The 14600-nt window shown below is 39.2% G+C and overlaps 1 protein-coding gene across 3 annotated transcripts in view, besides 1 other annotated feature; it reads right to left on the bottom strand.

Annotated features, from left to right (window-relative positions):
• KCNMB4 (potassium calcium-activated channel subfamily M regulatory beta subunit 4) overlaps positions 1–14600 on the bottom strand; it is a 68003-nt gene that overhangs the window by 28575 nt on the left and 24828 nt on the right. For all 3 annotated transcript variants that reach the window (NM_014505.6, XM_047428701.1, XM_011538188.3), the window contains exon 2: positions 5382–5509. In NM_014505.6, coding sequence (NP_055320.4) covers positions 5382–5509 — 128 coding nt within the window. The remainder of the gene's footprint in view (positions 1–5381; positions 5510–14600) is intronic.
• Positions 3883–4083: a silencer, noted in NCBI's record as "peak1806 fragment used in MPRA reporter construct". NCBI's record gives its function as "represses an SCP1 promoter by STARR-seq MPRAs in K562 erythroleukemia cells {active_cell/tissue: K562}" and the evidence as "EXISTENCE:reporter gene assay evidence [ECO:0000049][PMID:32103011]".

The following is a 14600-nucleotide window of genomic DNA, read 5'->3' as shown; positions in this document are numbered from 1 at the left end:
GAATACTGCTGTGGTAAAAGGAGGAGTGCTCTTCAGGATCTTGAAGAGTCAAGATCCTGATTTCAAGTCTTTTGGAGAAATACCCAGGAGTGGGATTGCTGGATCATACAGTAGTTCTACTTTTAATTTTTTGAGGAACATCCATACTGTCTTCCATAGCAGCTGCATCCTTTTGCATTCCCACCAACGGTATGCAAGGGTTCCAATTTGTCCGTATCCTCACCAATACCTGTCTTTTGTTTTTTTGTTAATAGTCATTCTGAGAGGCGTGAGGTGACATTACATTGTGGCTTTGATTTGCATTTCTCTGATGATTAGTGAGGTTCAGCAATGTTTCATATACCTGTCAGCCATTTAGATGTCTATTTTTGAGAAATATCTATTTAAGCCCTTAGCCTTTTTTTAAATCAGATTATTAGTTTCTTTTACTATTGAGTTGTAGGAGTTCCTTATGTATTCAGGGGATTAACTCTTTAGCAGATATATAGTTTGCAAATATCTTCTCCTATTCTGTAGGTTGCCTTTTCACTCTGTTGAGTGTTTTCTTTGCTATTTAGTATGATGTAGTCCATGGCAAACTTCTTGAATGAGTAGTCTGTACTTATCAAAGGCTGTACCTAAATTATCTTCTTCTTGACTAACTTCTTCTCCTTAAAATACTCTCCTTTTAAGACGTTCTTATTTGATTTTCCTTTCACCCTCTGGCCACTCTTCCTTCATCTCCTTCTGCCTATAACTTAAATGTAGATGATCCTAAGATTCTGTCAACATTTCCCTCCTCACTCTAAATGTTCACAATATGCACTCTTTGTCTTCGCTTCAACTACAGCTTGTGCGCCATGATTCCCACATCTGAATAGCACTGCTTCTGACCTCTTGCTCCTCAACTTAAAAGTCTGTGTTTCTAACTCTTTCAAAGCATCTTCTGGATATTTTAAGAATCTCTCAAATTCAGCATACTCAGAGCTAGACTGTCCTTTTCTAACACTCAGTCAAGTTTGACACCTTTTTCCTTATCACTTACATTGTCATTAAGTTCTGTTGATTCTAACTAAAAAATCTTACTGCTATAATCCTTGTTGCTACTTTCACCACCACTATTCTCGTTTATGCCCTCAAAGTCTCTTACGAGGACCAGCAGATAGTCGATGGGAACTTTGGGAATCAGACTAACTGGATTCCAGTTTTTGCACTTAACAGTTGTGTGCACTGGAGAAGTTATTTAACTTTTTAAATATGCAATTTATTCATATGTTAAATGGGGCTAGTATTTAGAGATTTAGTAATCTAAACAAAATGTCATTCACAATGGCAGGCACACAGTAACCATTCAAAAATGTTTTTCACTCAGTACTCTCCTTTCTTTCTGCCTTTAACCCATCTTTCCCAGCCAGTATACATTCAACATTCACACCAGTTACTTTCTAACTCAAAAGGTCTACTCATGTCAGTCTTCAATTAAAAAAAAAAAACTTTTGACAAATTTTTATTGCCTATATGACAAAGAATCTCTTTAGTTTGACACTAATGACCCATTAGAAATCTAACCCCAAGCTACCTTTCTAGCTTACAAACTCATTACTCCATATTACATAACTTATTTACCTAAGGTATCTTACATTGTCAAGCCTTAATTTCTTTATTGTTGCCACCTCAATGTTCAGTCTTCCCCCTTCTATTTCTAGCTGATGTAATCATATTTATATGTGCATATGCATATGCTTTCAGCAATAAGTCCTAATTCCTTGGAAGCAAAGAACCCTCCTTTTAATTTGACACATTGCATTCACTTATTCATTCACTCACCAAATATTTATTACCTGAAACCCAGACATTGTGCTAGATATTAGAGATACATAAACAAAGAAGACTGGCCCATACCCTTAACAAGTGTGCAGCCTGGTGAGGAAAATGGGCATACAAACAATTCCAGTAATGGGTGAAAAGTGAAAGGGCAGAACAGTGACTGTAGTTTCTGGTTATAGATTAGAATCCCTAGCATCGATTTTACAAAATGCTAATGCCCGGTTTCAACCACCAAAGATTCTAATTAATTGGTCTGTGGTAAATTTTCTTTTTTTAAAGTTCCTCTAGCTGGGCACAGAGGCTCCCGCCTGTAATCCCAGTACTTCAAGATGGGAGGATCGCCTGAGGTCAGGAGTTCAAGACCAGCCTGGCTAACATGGTGAAACCCCGTTTCTACTAAATAATACAAAAATTAGCTGGGCATGGTGGCATGCACCTGTAATCCCAGCTACTTGGGAGGCTGAGGCAGGAGAATCACTTGAACCTGAGAGGCAGAGGTTGCAGTGAGCCAAGATCGTGCCACTGCACTCCAGCCTGAGTGACAGAGCGAGACTCCTACTCAAACAAAACAAAAAGAAAATAAAATAAAAAGCTCCTCTGGCCTAGTTATGTGAAGCAACCCTTGCAAGCTCCTGGGAGAGAGTTGTAAATAGAAGCCTATGGAATATTATGACTCAGAAACATTTCCTGAAAAAATAAAATAAAATAAAATAAAATAAAATAAAATAAAAGACGATGACTATGGAATATGGGAGACAACCTTTTCATTGGCATTTTTGGTTGTTCCACAACACCTTGTTCCCTTTCTTCTTCCTTCCCAAATCTACTCAGGGGTATACCCCGTCTCCAAGTGACTTAAGAGATGTAACACTAGCCCCAAGTCAGGGGTTGATTCTGATTGTTCTTTCTTGTGATTGGTTTAGGTGTGGGCAAAGGAACTCACTGTGAACAAGGATACATGAAGGGAGGTTGCCTGTGGGAAGATGGGAAAAGTTTTCCAAATCCCAAGAAAAATGCATCAAGAAAGACAGGCTCTTTCTCTCTTTGGACACTGCTGCATCTGGCTGGGACATCTGGAACTGAAGCAACTATATTATAACTGTGAAAAGAGCCACCTTGAGGCCAGATTTGAAAAGGAGCTGGGTTTTGGTAACACTATTAAGTCATTGCATCAAACAACCCTGACATCCGTCCACCTGTGCATTTCTCCTTCATTTTCATTTTTTTCTTTCTTCCTTTTTTTTTTTTTTTTTTTTTGAGGCAGGGTCTCATTTTGTCACCCAGGCTAAAGTGCAGTGGTGTGATCATGGCTCATTGCAGCCTCAACCTCCCAAGGCTTAGTAGGACCCAAGCGATCCTCCCATGTTAGCTTCCTGAGTAGCTGGGACTACAGGTGCACATCATCATGCCTGGCTAATTTTTAAAATTTTTTGTAGAGACAGGGTCTCCCTACGCTGCCCAGGCTGGCCTTGAACTCCTGGGCTCAAGTGATCCTCCCGCCTCAGTCTTCCACGGTGTTGGGATTACAGGCGTGAACCACCATGCCTGGCCTTGCATTTCTTGATGTATAAAATAATACATTTCCTAATTTCTTTATGATGCTTTGAGTCAAAATTCTGATTACCTGCAACACATCACATCTCAACTGATACAGAACTAAATCAAAATTGGGGATCAAGGAAGGCACCCCAGAGAAGGTGATATCTGAGGAATTTCCAGTATGGCCGCCAAGAAGCAGGAAAAGCAAATAAAAAGGCATACATATAAAAGTATAAAATATTCTGGGAAGTGCACATAGTTCAGAATGGCTATTGCAAAGAGTTTGAGCAAGGAAATGAGGTTGGAGAAGTGACAGTCTGGGACAAGATCTTGAGAAGCCTTGTATCCTGTGGTAGATTAAATGTGGTGACAAATGTTTTGCAGCTCCTCCTATCAAGAGGCAAAGCCTACTCCAGAACCTCATGAATACGGCTGGCTTCATGACTTGCTTTGACCAATAGAAGGTGTCAGAAGTGATATTATTCAAATTCCAGAGCCGAGGCCTACCTCTCTTGAAATGCTATCTGAGGCTGCCACGTTGTAAGGAAGGCAATCTAGCCTACTGAAGAATGAGAGGCCAGGTGGTGGGGATACTGAGGCGCCCCAGCTGACAGCCAGCACTGACTGCTGGGCATGTGAGGGAGGAGGCCATCTTGAACCATGCAGCTATTTCAGCCATCATCCGACTACAAATGAGCACAGCCAACCCACAGAATCATAAAAAAAAAAAAAAAAAGTGTCATTGCTGTAGTAAGCCACTACGTTTAGGGTGGTTTGTTATGCAGCAATAGGTATCTGACATAGGCCATGCCAAGATGTTTGAGCTTTATTCTGAAAACTATGCAGAGTAACCTGATTAGACTCATGTGTTAGAAAGATTACCTTGGCAGTACTATGGAGAGTGGCTTGGAGTGGGTCCACGGTGGAGGCGGAAGACTTGTTACAAGACTATTGCGTTAATGGAGCTGAGAAATCTGGATGTAAACTAAGACAGTGATAGTGGGGAGGCAGAGAAGAGTCATGATACAGGTAAAAATCAACATGATGTGTTGGACACAGTGGCTCACGCCTGTAATTTCAGCACTTTGGGAGGCTGAGGCAGGCAGATCACTTGAGGTCAGGAGTTAGATACCAGCCTGGTCAACATGGTGAAACCCTGTCTCTACTAAAAATACACGAATTAGCCAGCTGTGGTGGTGTGTGCCTGTAGTCCCAGCTACTCGGGAGGCTGAGGCACAAGAATCACTTGGACCTGGGAGGTGCAGGCTGCAGTGAGCCAAGATCTCGTCACTGCACTCCAGCCTGGGTGACAGAGTGAGACTCTGTCTAAAAACAAACAAAAATACATGATGGTGACATAGGTTACAAAGTACAAAGGAGAAAAATGAACTAAGCATTACTCAAAGGTTTCTGGATTTGGTAAATGAGTGAATGGTCATGCCATTTTCTAAGACAGAGATTATGGGAGCAAGTGAAGGTTTGCGGTAACCCTGGAACATCCAAGTGGAGATGTACAGCAAGGAATTGTGAATACTCAATAAATGTTTGATGAATAAATTACTGATTAATCTGAGTGGGTACCAAAGTGCCCTAGTCCAAGGAACCATCTTTACATGGTTTATATGGTATAAACTGAGTACTAAGTCAAGTAAGGTTTTAATGGTGTGAACTCACGTTATTGACGCTTCATCAGAATAGAAAGGAAAAGGAAAGGTAAGATTCGATGCAGTCTAAAAGTGCTGGCAAATCTGCACATTGCTTAGCTTATGTGCATCAATCTGCAATTCTTAGGAAATGCAAAGTAATGTTCCTACCTAAAGTCACTATCATTTTGTAGTATATTCACAGGGTAAGGTGTACAACACAAGTCTTTTTCTCTGTCCTGCAGATTCATTATATGGGTTTCCCTAATTACACGCAAAGAAGAGTTGAGGCTATCTCCATGCTGTCAAGTGGGCATAATCTACGATATAACAGTGTAATAAGCTGCAGAGTCTACAAACAATTTTAACACGCACATGCAAATATTGACTTACCTTTGATGTTGATTAAAATAGCAAGTAAATGGCTGGGAACCAATCTCATCTTTCCAGTACTGTTGCCAATTCATGACACTTTCCAAATTCTTCTGATTTTCTCTCTTACAGGGAGGGATATAGGAGCACTAACAAAATAGAATACAGAAAGTAAACCTATTATTTTATGGAACATTGAGATACAGTCTTTTTTTATAGAAAGATGGCATTATAAAGACAGTAAATCTAATTTAGGCCTCCCTAATTTTTAAATACAACCAAATTGAAATTACTAAACTATATTCCAAATTTCCAATTTGGCACAAGGACAGAAAGTATTCCAAATACAAAAACACAGCAAAAAATAAACTTCAGTCATTATGGTGTAAGGGTATTTTATAAACTATTAGTTACCATGTAATAGCAAATTAAAAGCATAATATACTCTCTCTTTTGGTGACCTGTCCGTCAACAGAGGGAGGCATAAAAAAGTTTATTTTTATCCCCAATTGCTATCTATGAACCTTGGCATTTCTGTCTTCTACCTGTAACTAATAAATTCAAGCACATAGCTCTTCTCAGGATACTGCTCCTAACTGCTGAAACCCAAGTTTTCTTTTCGTACATTCTCTTGGACAACAAAATCAGTGGAAAATTTCCTTTCAAATACATAATCAGTGTATTTTGCTAACTGATGTCTTTTCCTAGCCATGCCTCTGACAAAGTAGTTCTCTTAAAGGAGCTCTATTATCGTAAGCAATATAGATTAAGCAGAATCAGACAACTGTTCTTAAGTCCAGATGTTAAAATGAACTCTCGGCATTCTAATCCATTTTCTGCAATTCAGCTTTTTACAACGATGACGAAGATGATGCCAGTTTCTATTTATTGAGTGTTTGCAATACAGCAGACGCAAATGCTTAACAGGACTTAACTTGTGTACTTTTTACAACCCTATAACAATTTCCATTTTATAGATGCAGACATTGAGATTTTCGTCAGCTCTACAACCACAACTAGATTCTGGTGGTCTTACCACATTCTACTCTTAGGTGTTCTACCAAGGTATCTGATATTAAGGAGCAGGGAAAAACCAAACCAACACAACATAGAGTTTTATAGTATAATTTCAGTCACATTGTTTAATTTACAGCATACAATTATTCAACACCTTCTCACTATTTTCTGGTAAAACTGAAATGTTTTAGCATGATGCACAAAGCTCTTTGTGATCTGGTCCCTGCCTGTCTTCACCCTCATTTAATTCTGGGATGCAGCCATATGGATGTACTTGCTCTCCAAATCTGCCACGTGCTGTCAACCTACTTGCTTGGCACAGGCTGTTCTCTCTCCTTTTAATGCCCTTTGTTCCTAAATCTCCTTTATTTTAAGCTTCAAGTTTGGTGTTACCTACTTGAGGGAGCCTTCTTTTTCTTCTACCACAGTTAAGTGCCCCTCATTTGTGCTGCCATGGGACTCACGCCACGTGATATCACAGCTGGAAACACACAGTATCATACTTGCCTGTTTTATGTCAGCCTTCCCAATTTGCTGGCGAGGTGAGAACAAGACCTGTTTTCTGTCTTTTCTATATTTTCACACTTATGACTATGTCTGCTAATGGTGAAACTGCAAAAATGTTGGTTGAATTCGTTAATGATAACACGGATACATTTTTATTCAAGATGATGACATTATTTTCACAGTGTTTAAACTTTTAAAAAATATAGACATTATAAATTTTAGTAAATTTGGTTGTCTATTATATACAATACATTCACAACATGTTATGCAAATGTTATTTTAATGATTGAATCACTGAATGTTTATCTTCTGCACATATAGTTCTACATCTATTAATAACAATAATACGAAGCTAAAAATGTCTGTGAAATTATGGATTCTGAGTTCTTCCAAAGCAGCAGTTGGGTTTGGAAGCAATGGAGACCATTAGATAGGGCTCCAGTCCTATTGTCTATTAGGTGTTAGGCCTTGGGTAAATTACTTCCCTTTTCTGGACTTCATTTTTTCAAATATGCAAAATCTCCAAAATAATTTCTAGCTCTACATTTCTATGATTCTATTCTTGGAGGTACACCAAGAAAGAACCCAGCAGAAGGCAGGACTACAAACACTGTCACAGTATTTTTCCCAGAAGAGATCCTGCCCACTGGGGAGATGGCTGGGAACCCTGACTAAGCCAGTATTCCAGCCAGCAAAGAGGAGGAGTGTGGTAGGTCCTTCCTTAGGGGCCAGCACTTTGCATTAGAAAAATGTTCACAAGAGAACCATGATTTTCTTATTGCTTACTTTCTCTAAGGTGTTGGATATTTTGTTTCCTTCTATTAAAATATATATTTTTCTACATTATAGTCAATTAGTTTATAAAGTGTGAGCAAGTGCCAATTTATTGTGCTCTTCTACGAAGGAGAAATTTCCCAATTTGGAGGTAGAAGCTGTGAAGTGTGAAGGCCTAAAAATTCATCAGAGCCCTTTTTGCAATGGGTAAATACTTGACACAAGAGATATACTAAGTGCGTTAGGAAAGAACAATTCATAACCACATGTAATCAAAACAGATTTTAAATATTTCTAAGTTAACTCAGTTTGAATTCTTTGCTATTTAGTTTTTTGGGGAGAAATGGGTTTAAAAGAAATGTCTCTCTCAAATGATAACCTAAGATTTGACCAGAAGAATTACATTGACATGCTTCTGAAAAGGTCAAAAACTTTCACTGAGTGTGTAAAGTTCTGTATTAGGTATGCTGAAGTTTCATGTGAGATTTTTAAAAAAATTCTTGCTTTTTTGGAAAGTCTGAGGTTGTGTGGATGGATTTTTGGATGGAAAGTACTTTTTTACATTGGAGAAAATAATCTGAGATCAAAATTTGAGTATTCTTTTTATGCACTGCATTCTTTCCAAAGAGTGACATAGATTAAGTGATCTATACTTAACAATACTCTAGCAACTTTTTAAAACTAACATTGCCTGGAAAGAATTTTTTTTCAAGAGTCAAGGACTTGCTCTGTGACCCAGGCTGGAGTGCTGTGGTGAGATCATAGCTAACTGCAGCCTTGAACTCTTGGGGCTCAAGCAATCCTGCTGCCTAGCCTCTTGAGTAGCTAGGACTACAGCTACTCCACCACACCCAGCTAATTTTTTGTAGAGAAGGTGTCTGTCTCCTTTGGTTGTCCAGGCTGGTCTCGAACTCCTGGGCTCAATTGTCCCACCCTGGCCTCTAAGAGTGCTGGGGTTACAGGTGTGAGCCATCACACCTGGTCTGAAAAGCTACATTTTAAGGCAAACATCAAATTCTTAAAAATCATTATGGCTCCATTTCCTTAAATCTTTATTCTCAAGTTACCGTGAAGCCTAACTCAGATCCTCCCTAGATTCCTTCTCAATTCACTTAGTGTATCATCGTAGATTGCCAGAATTTTTACATAAATTAGAAATGAAAGTCCAAAGCACGGTGCTGGAAAAAGAACTCGAGAATCCAGTCACACAAATGCCTTTTATTTCTAGATTGTTCAAGCCTGGTGGTTTTCGAGGCTTCATAATAGTTCCACCATGGATGTCTCTCATTTGGGGAGGACCACAAATAACAACCTACATGGTAACGTCATCATCACAACCAGCATTTATTGACTATATGTCAAGTGTTGCATTAATTCAAACGAGCAAATATTATAATTACTTCCATTTTTGGATGAGGAAACTGAGGGACAGAGGGACTTAAGAAAACTTTCTTGGCCAGGTACCATGGCTCACGCCTGTAATTCCAACACTTTGGGAGGTTGAGGCGGGCAGATCACTTGAGGTCAGGAGTTTGAGACCAGCCTGGACAGCAGGGTAAAACCCCATCTCTACTGAAAATACAAAAATTAGCAGGGCGTGGTGGCACACACCCATAATCCCAGCTACTTGGGAGGCTGAGACAAGAGAATCACTTAAACCCAGGAGGCGGAGGCTGCAGTGAGCTGAGATTATACCACTTGCACTCCAGCTTCGGTGACAGAGCAAGACTCTGTCTAAAAGAAGAAGAAAACTTTCTCAAGGTCCCAATGGCAAATGGAAAAGCTGGGATTCAGACTGCAGAGTGGTCCTAACTACTGCTTTCCATATCTCTATCTTTAGGGATTCCTAGTCTTCTCTCTTTGGAGCTCCTGATTTAGGACAAGGAGATCCCCTGCCCTCTGCATCCCTCTCTTGGAGCACCAGTGTAGTATTTTTATTGGAATGGAATTGATGTAGTCCTCCTGAGAGCTGATGGGTTGAGGCAAGTCTGTTGCAGTCCTTTGTCTTCCTGGTACATCCTCAGAGAAATGCACTGTAAGTCTTTGCTTGTTCCCTCCTGTTTCAATTTGGCTTCAGGGTTGGTTTCCGGTGCCATGGATGTAATTTCACTTAGGTGAATTTATAGACATAATGCCTTTGGTCATGGAGGACAATAGCATTTCCTTAGAGAAATTTCTTCATATAGTTCTGACCTATTTTGTTTTTCATTTGCAAAGGCAGCATTTCCAGGCTTCTAATATCATTATTGCACAAATAACCTTCACTAGAGCCCATATTGTTTGCTGCCTGAACTTGGATGAAATAACTTCTTTGAAAAAATATTTTCGAAAAAGATTTTTTGAACTTTTGCATTCATGAACAAAGTTCATGGAACCGAGTGGGCTATCCTGACAAGAATAACATAAAGTCTTCCAATGAGTTTATTAAGAAAAGACAGTATCATCACACAACATGGAATGCTTGATTACGTACTTATTATTACTTAGTTTTCCATTATCATATGTTAGGGTTTGTCAAGATTTATAACAGCATTTTTTTTTCTGCCAACCACAATGGGATTTATATTTTAATAGAATCGTTTTTGAGTAGGTTCTTTGTGATAAGTGTCTTGAGAGGACTGCATTTCAATCATTTGGGCAGAGTAGGCAGAATTAACTTTCTTCTGTTACTGAATCATTTAAAGATTATTGCATAAATCCTGTGGTCTACTTAGTTAAATATCAGGGACTGGGTTCTATGTTAGGAATTATCTAAGAAACAGAAATGAGGAAATTTGTTTCTCCAGTTTTCCATTGACTTCATTTGGTTAGGGAGGGTAGTACTGAAAGACATAATACAGCTGAAAACATGCATGCAGCTGATTAAATGATTTCCAAATAAATTTGGTTACAAAATGAATTCTTAAAACATTATCTACTGGAACACATGTTTAATTATATTTTATACCATAATCCCTCATTTTCTGAACTCCTATAAGAAATATCTGTCAGCTATCATTGTAATTTTAGTGATACTTTTGACAGTATGAGCATATAATCAGAAAACACTGTGAAATAAAAAGTATAACTGAGCCATTTATAAACTCCATTAACAGTCAGGTGCAGTGGCTCAAGCCTGTAATCCCAACATGTTGGGAGGATGAGGCAGGAGGATCACTTGAGCTCAGGAGTTCAAGACCACACTGGGCAACAAAGTGAGATCTCATCTTTACAAAGTATTAAATAATCAGCCAGGCATGGTAGTACACACCTGTAGTCACCGCTACTCAGAAAGCTGAAGTGGGAGGACTGCTTGAGACCAGGAAGTCAAGGCTGCAGTGAGCCGTGATCGTCCCACTGTACTCCAGCCTGGGAAACAGAGCAAGATCCTATCTCAAAAATAAATAAATAAATAAACTCCATAATGTTTCAAATGTTGTGGGTGCATATGTGCATGGGCGCGCACACACACACACATACACACATACAGAGTCCTTATGAATGTAGGTTAATTGAACAAATATATACGAAATTATATGTCAGCTAAAAAACTAAATTCTAGGGCAGGTAGTCCAGAATGTTTATCCACATCTGAAAGCTAAATGAAAGTAATCTTATGGAAGAATTCAGAGTTAAATAAATGGCTTAGAAAATGTGAAAAGCAAGGTTAACTAAGAACAGGAGAAGCTAAAATGAGCTCTTAGGCAAGAGTAGGCTGGGCAGAAAGAGTAGTGCCCAGCCTAGAGCAGAGATGGTCAAAGTCTGTTCCACAGATCACTTGAACTGCTTGTCAAAAAGATCCACCCTCCTCAAAGTGTGATTAAGACTAGGAATCTGCATTATTAACAGCTCTCCTGCCCTTGGAATGACAGATTTTTAGAATTGATAATTTATGCAATAAACTATTCTTGATTGCTGAGTACTGCATAGGAAACAAAGATTAGCTATTACTCACTCCCTTCTCCCTCTCTCTCCCTCTCCACCTCCCCCGAAGCAAGCAGTGTAGTAATAGTAGCATATTTACAAAGTGCTTTGTGACTACAAAAGAAGACATGAATATTTTGGCCTCCAGAGTATAAGAGAAGGCTTCACAGAAGAGATGACTTGATTTGTGTCTTTAAGGCTGAACAGGAATTTGCTTGTCAGAGAATGGGCTGGGAAGGTGACATCCCAAGAAGAAATGGAATGTACAGAGGCTGTGTATGGATGTTCCAGAAAGACTGAGTCATCTAATGTGCCTTGGAGGACAAGGGGCATAGGAGATGGCGTTGGAAAATGCCCAAATTATCTGACCTACTATTCACTGAAGAATTGTTCCTCTCTCCTTAAATGTTTCTGTAAAAAGTTGCTCACTACCTCCCAGAGAATACACCCACGCTCCAATGCATAGTTTTTTTAGTTAGAATTTACTATCATATGTTGATATGATATCTGGATTTTTGGAATTTAATAATATTCACTTAACTTCTGCATTCAGGCAGACTGCTAAGGTTGGTTATATTATTAAGACTGAAAAGTTCGGCATGGCATTCCATCTTCAAAATAGTTCATTTAGTTTTAGAGTTAGAAAATAAAAACACGGCGGGGCGTGGTGGCTCACACCTGTAATCCCAGCACTTTGGGGGGCCAAGGCGGGTGGGTCACAAGGTCAGGAGTTCAAGATCAGGCTGGCCAAGATGGTGAAACTCCTTCTCTACTAAAACAACAAAAATTAGCTAGGCATGGTGGCAGGAGCCTGTAATCCCAGCTACTTAGGAGGCTGAGGCAGGAGAATCGCTTGAACCCGGGAGGCAGAGGTTGTAGTGAGCCGAGATCGCGCCACTGCACTCCAGTCTGGGCGACAGAGTGAGACTCTTTCTCAAAAATAAAATAAAATAAATAAAATAAAATAAAAACACACAGTCTTTGCCAAAAATAGAAGTTGAATCCAAATAGAAGCAATCACACCAAAACAAGAAATTTTAATCTGGAAGAAGTTCAATAGTTATTAATAATTATAACAAACATGACAGGGCCTATAAACATTTGTTTAATAACTCCTGATCAGAATTTAAAATCCTGAGGAGATGGCCAATACTCTTTCTTTAAATTTTATTATTTTTTTATTATATTTTATGGGATACATGTGCAGAACATGCAGGTTTGTTACATAGACATACATGTGCCATGGTGGTTTGCTGCACCCATCAACCCCTCATCTATAGTAGGTATTTCTCCTAATGCTATTTCTCCCCGAGTTTCCCACTCCCCAACAGGCCCCAGTGTGTGATGTTGCCCTCCCTATGTCCCTATGTTCTCATTTTTCAACTTCCACTTATGAGTGAGAACATGCAGTGTTTGGTTTTCTGTTCCTGTGTTAGTTTGCTGAGAATGATGGTTTCCAGCTTCATCCATGTCCCTGCAAAGGACATGAACTCATCTTTTTTTATGGCTGCATTAGTATTCCATGGTGTATACGTGCCACATTTTCTTTATCCAGTCTATCATTGATGGGCATTTAGGTTGGTTCCAAGTTTTTGCTATTGTGAACAGTGCTGCAATAAACAAACGTGTGCATGTGTCTTTATAGAATGATTTATAATCCTTTGGGTATACACCCAGTATACCCAGTATACCATTTGCTGGGTCAAATGGTATTTCTGGTTCTAGATCCTTGAGGAATCACCACATTGTCTTCCACAATGGTTGAACTAATGTACACTCCCACCAACAGTGTAAAAGCATTCCTATTTCTCCACATCCTCTCCAGCATCTGTTATTTCCTGACTTTTTAATGACTGCCATTCTAACTGGTGTGAGATGGTATCTCATTGTGGTTTTGATTTGCATTTCTCTAATGGAGATGGTCAATACTCTTATGACACTGAAATGAAATAAAACTTTCTTAAATGTTCATGCACACATTCAGATGGCTTCATTGATGGCATTATTTGTAGCTATATTGTGTACTGTAAGGTACACAAATTCAATGTGTGTATGTATGGATATATATACAATGAAATATTACAACCATCATTTCTGCATGAAGGGGATCAACAAGCCCTGTCTATTGTAAGTCCTCTAGAACCAGTATGGTGATGATAAAAAAAACTGGTGCTTCCTATTTGTAGCAGAATATGTTTTCTAAAGAGAGCTGCATTAATATACATCCCATTTCACATACTCTTACAATGTGATGTTGGCACTCCTCAATTGAGAGGTGGAGGTCTAGCTTCTCTTCCTTAGCACATAAATGAGCCATTGATTACAGCAATGATTCAGTGTGACTTCAAGGTTAGATCAGAAAAGGTGATAAAGCACCTGCTTGCATCTCTCTCGAGAATGCTCATCCTTGGTCTCCAGACAGTATTCTACAAGGAAACCCAAACTGGCCCATAATGAGAGATCACATGAAAGGCCTATGTGGAGAGGACCTCAGACTATATTCTTCTCTGTGTCCTTTATAAATTTCTGACCCACAGAATTTGTGAACATAGGCCAGGCGCAGTGGCTCACACCTGTAATCCTAGAGCCTTCGGAGGCCAAGGCAGGGGGACTGCTTGAACCCAGGAGTTCGAGACTAGCCAGGGCAACATAGCAAGACCCTCTGTCTACAGAACATATTTTTTTAATTAGCTGGGTGTACTGGTATATGTCTTTAGTCATAGTTAGTCAGGAGATTGAGAGGTGAGGATAGCTTGAGCCCTGGAGTTTGAGGTTACAGTGAGCTATGATTGTGCCACTGCACTCCAGCCTGGGTGACAGAGCAAGACCCTTTCTCTAAAAAAAAATAATAATAAATAAAAAATAAAAGAATGTGTGAACATATGAAAAATGACTTGAGCCACAGGGATCTTTGACAGTGGCTGAGATCACAGGACATCTAAGATTAAAATAAATAGATAACCTTCTAAGGTTCTTCTTTATTTACATACCTGAAAGTATAAAAACACTTGAGGTTTGATGAAATGAAGTCTATGAGTC

Source organism: Homo sapiens, chromosome 12 (genome assembly GCF_000001405.40).
Source record: "Homo sapiens chromosome 12, GRCh38.p14 Primary Assembly".
Classification (NCBI taxonomy): Eukaryota; Metazoa; Chordata; class Mammalia; order Primates; family Hominidae; genus Homo; species Homo sapiens.
The sequence above is the reverse complement of the archived record's forward strand: the minus strand, read 5'-3'. Positions and strand labels throughout refer to the sequence as shown.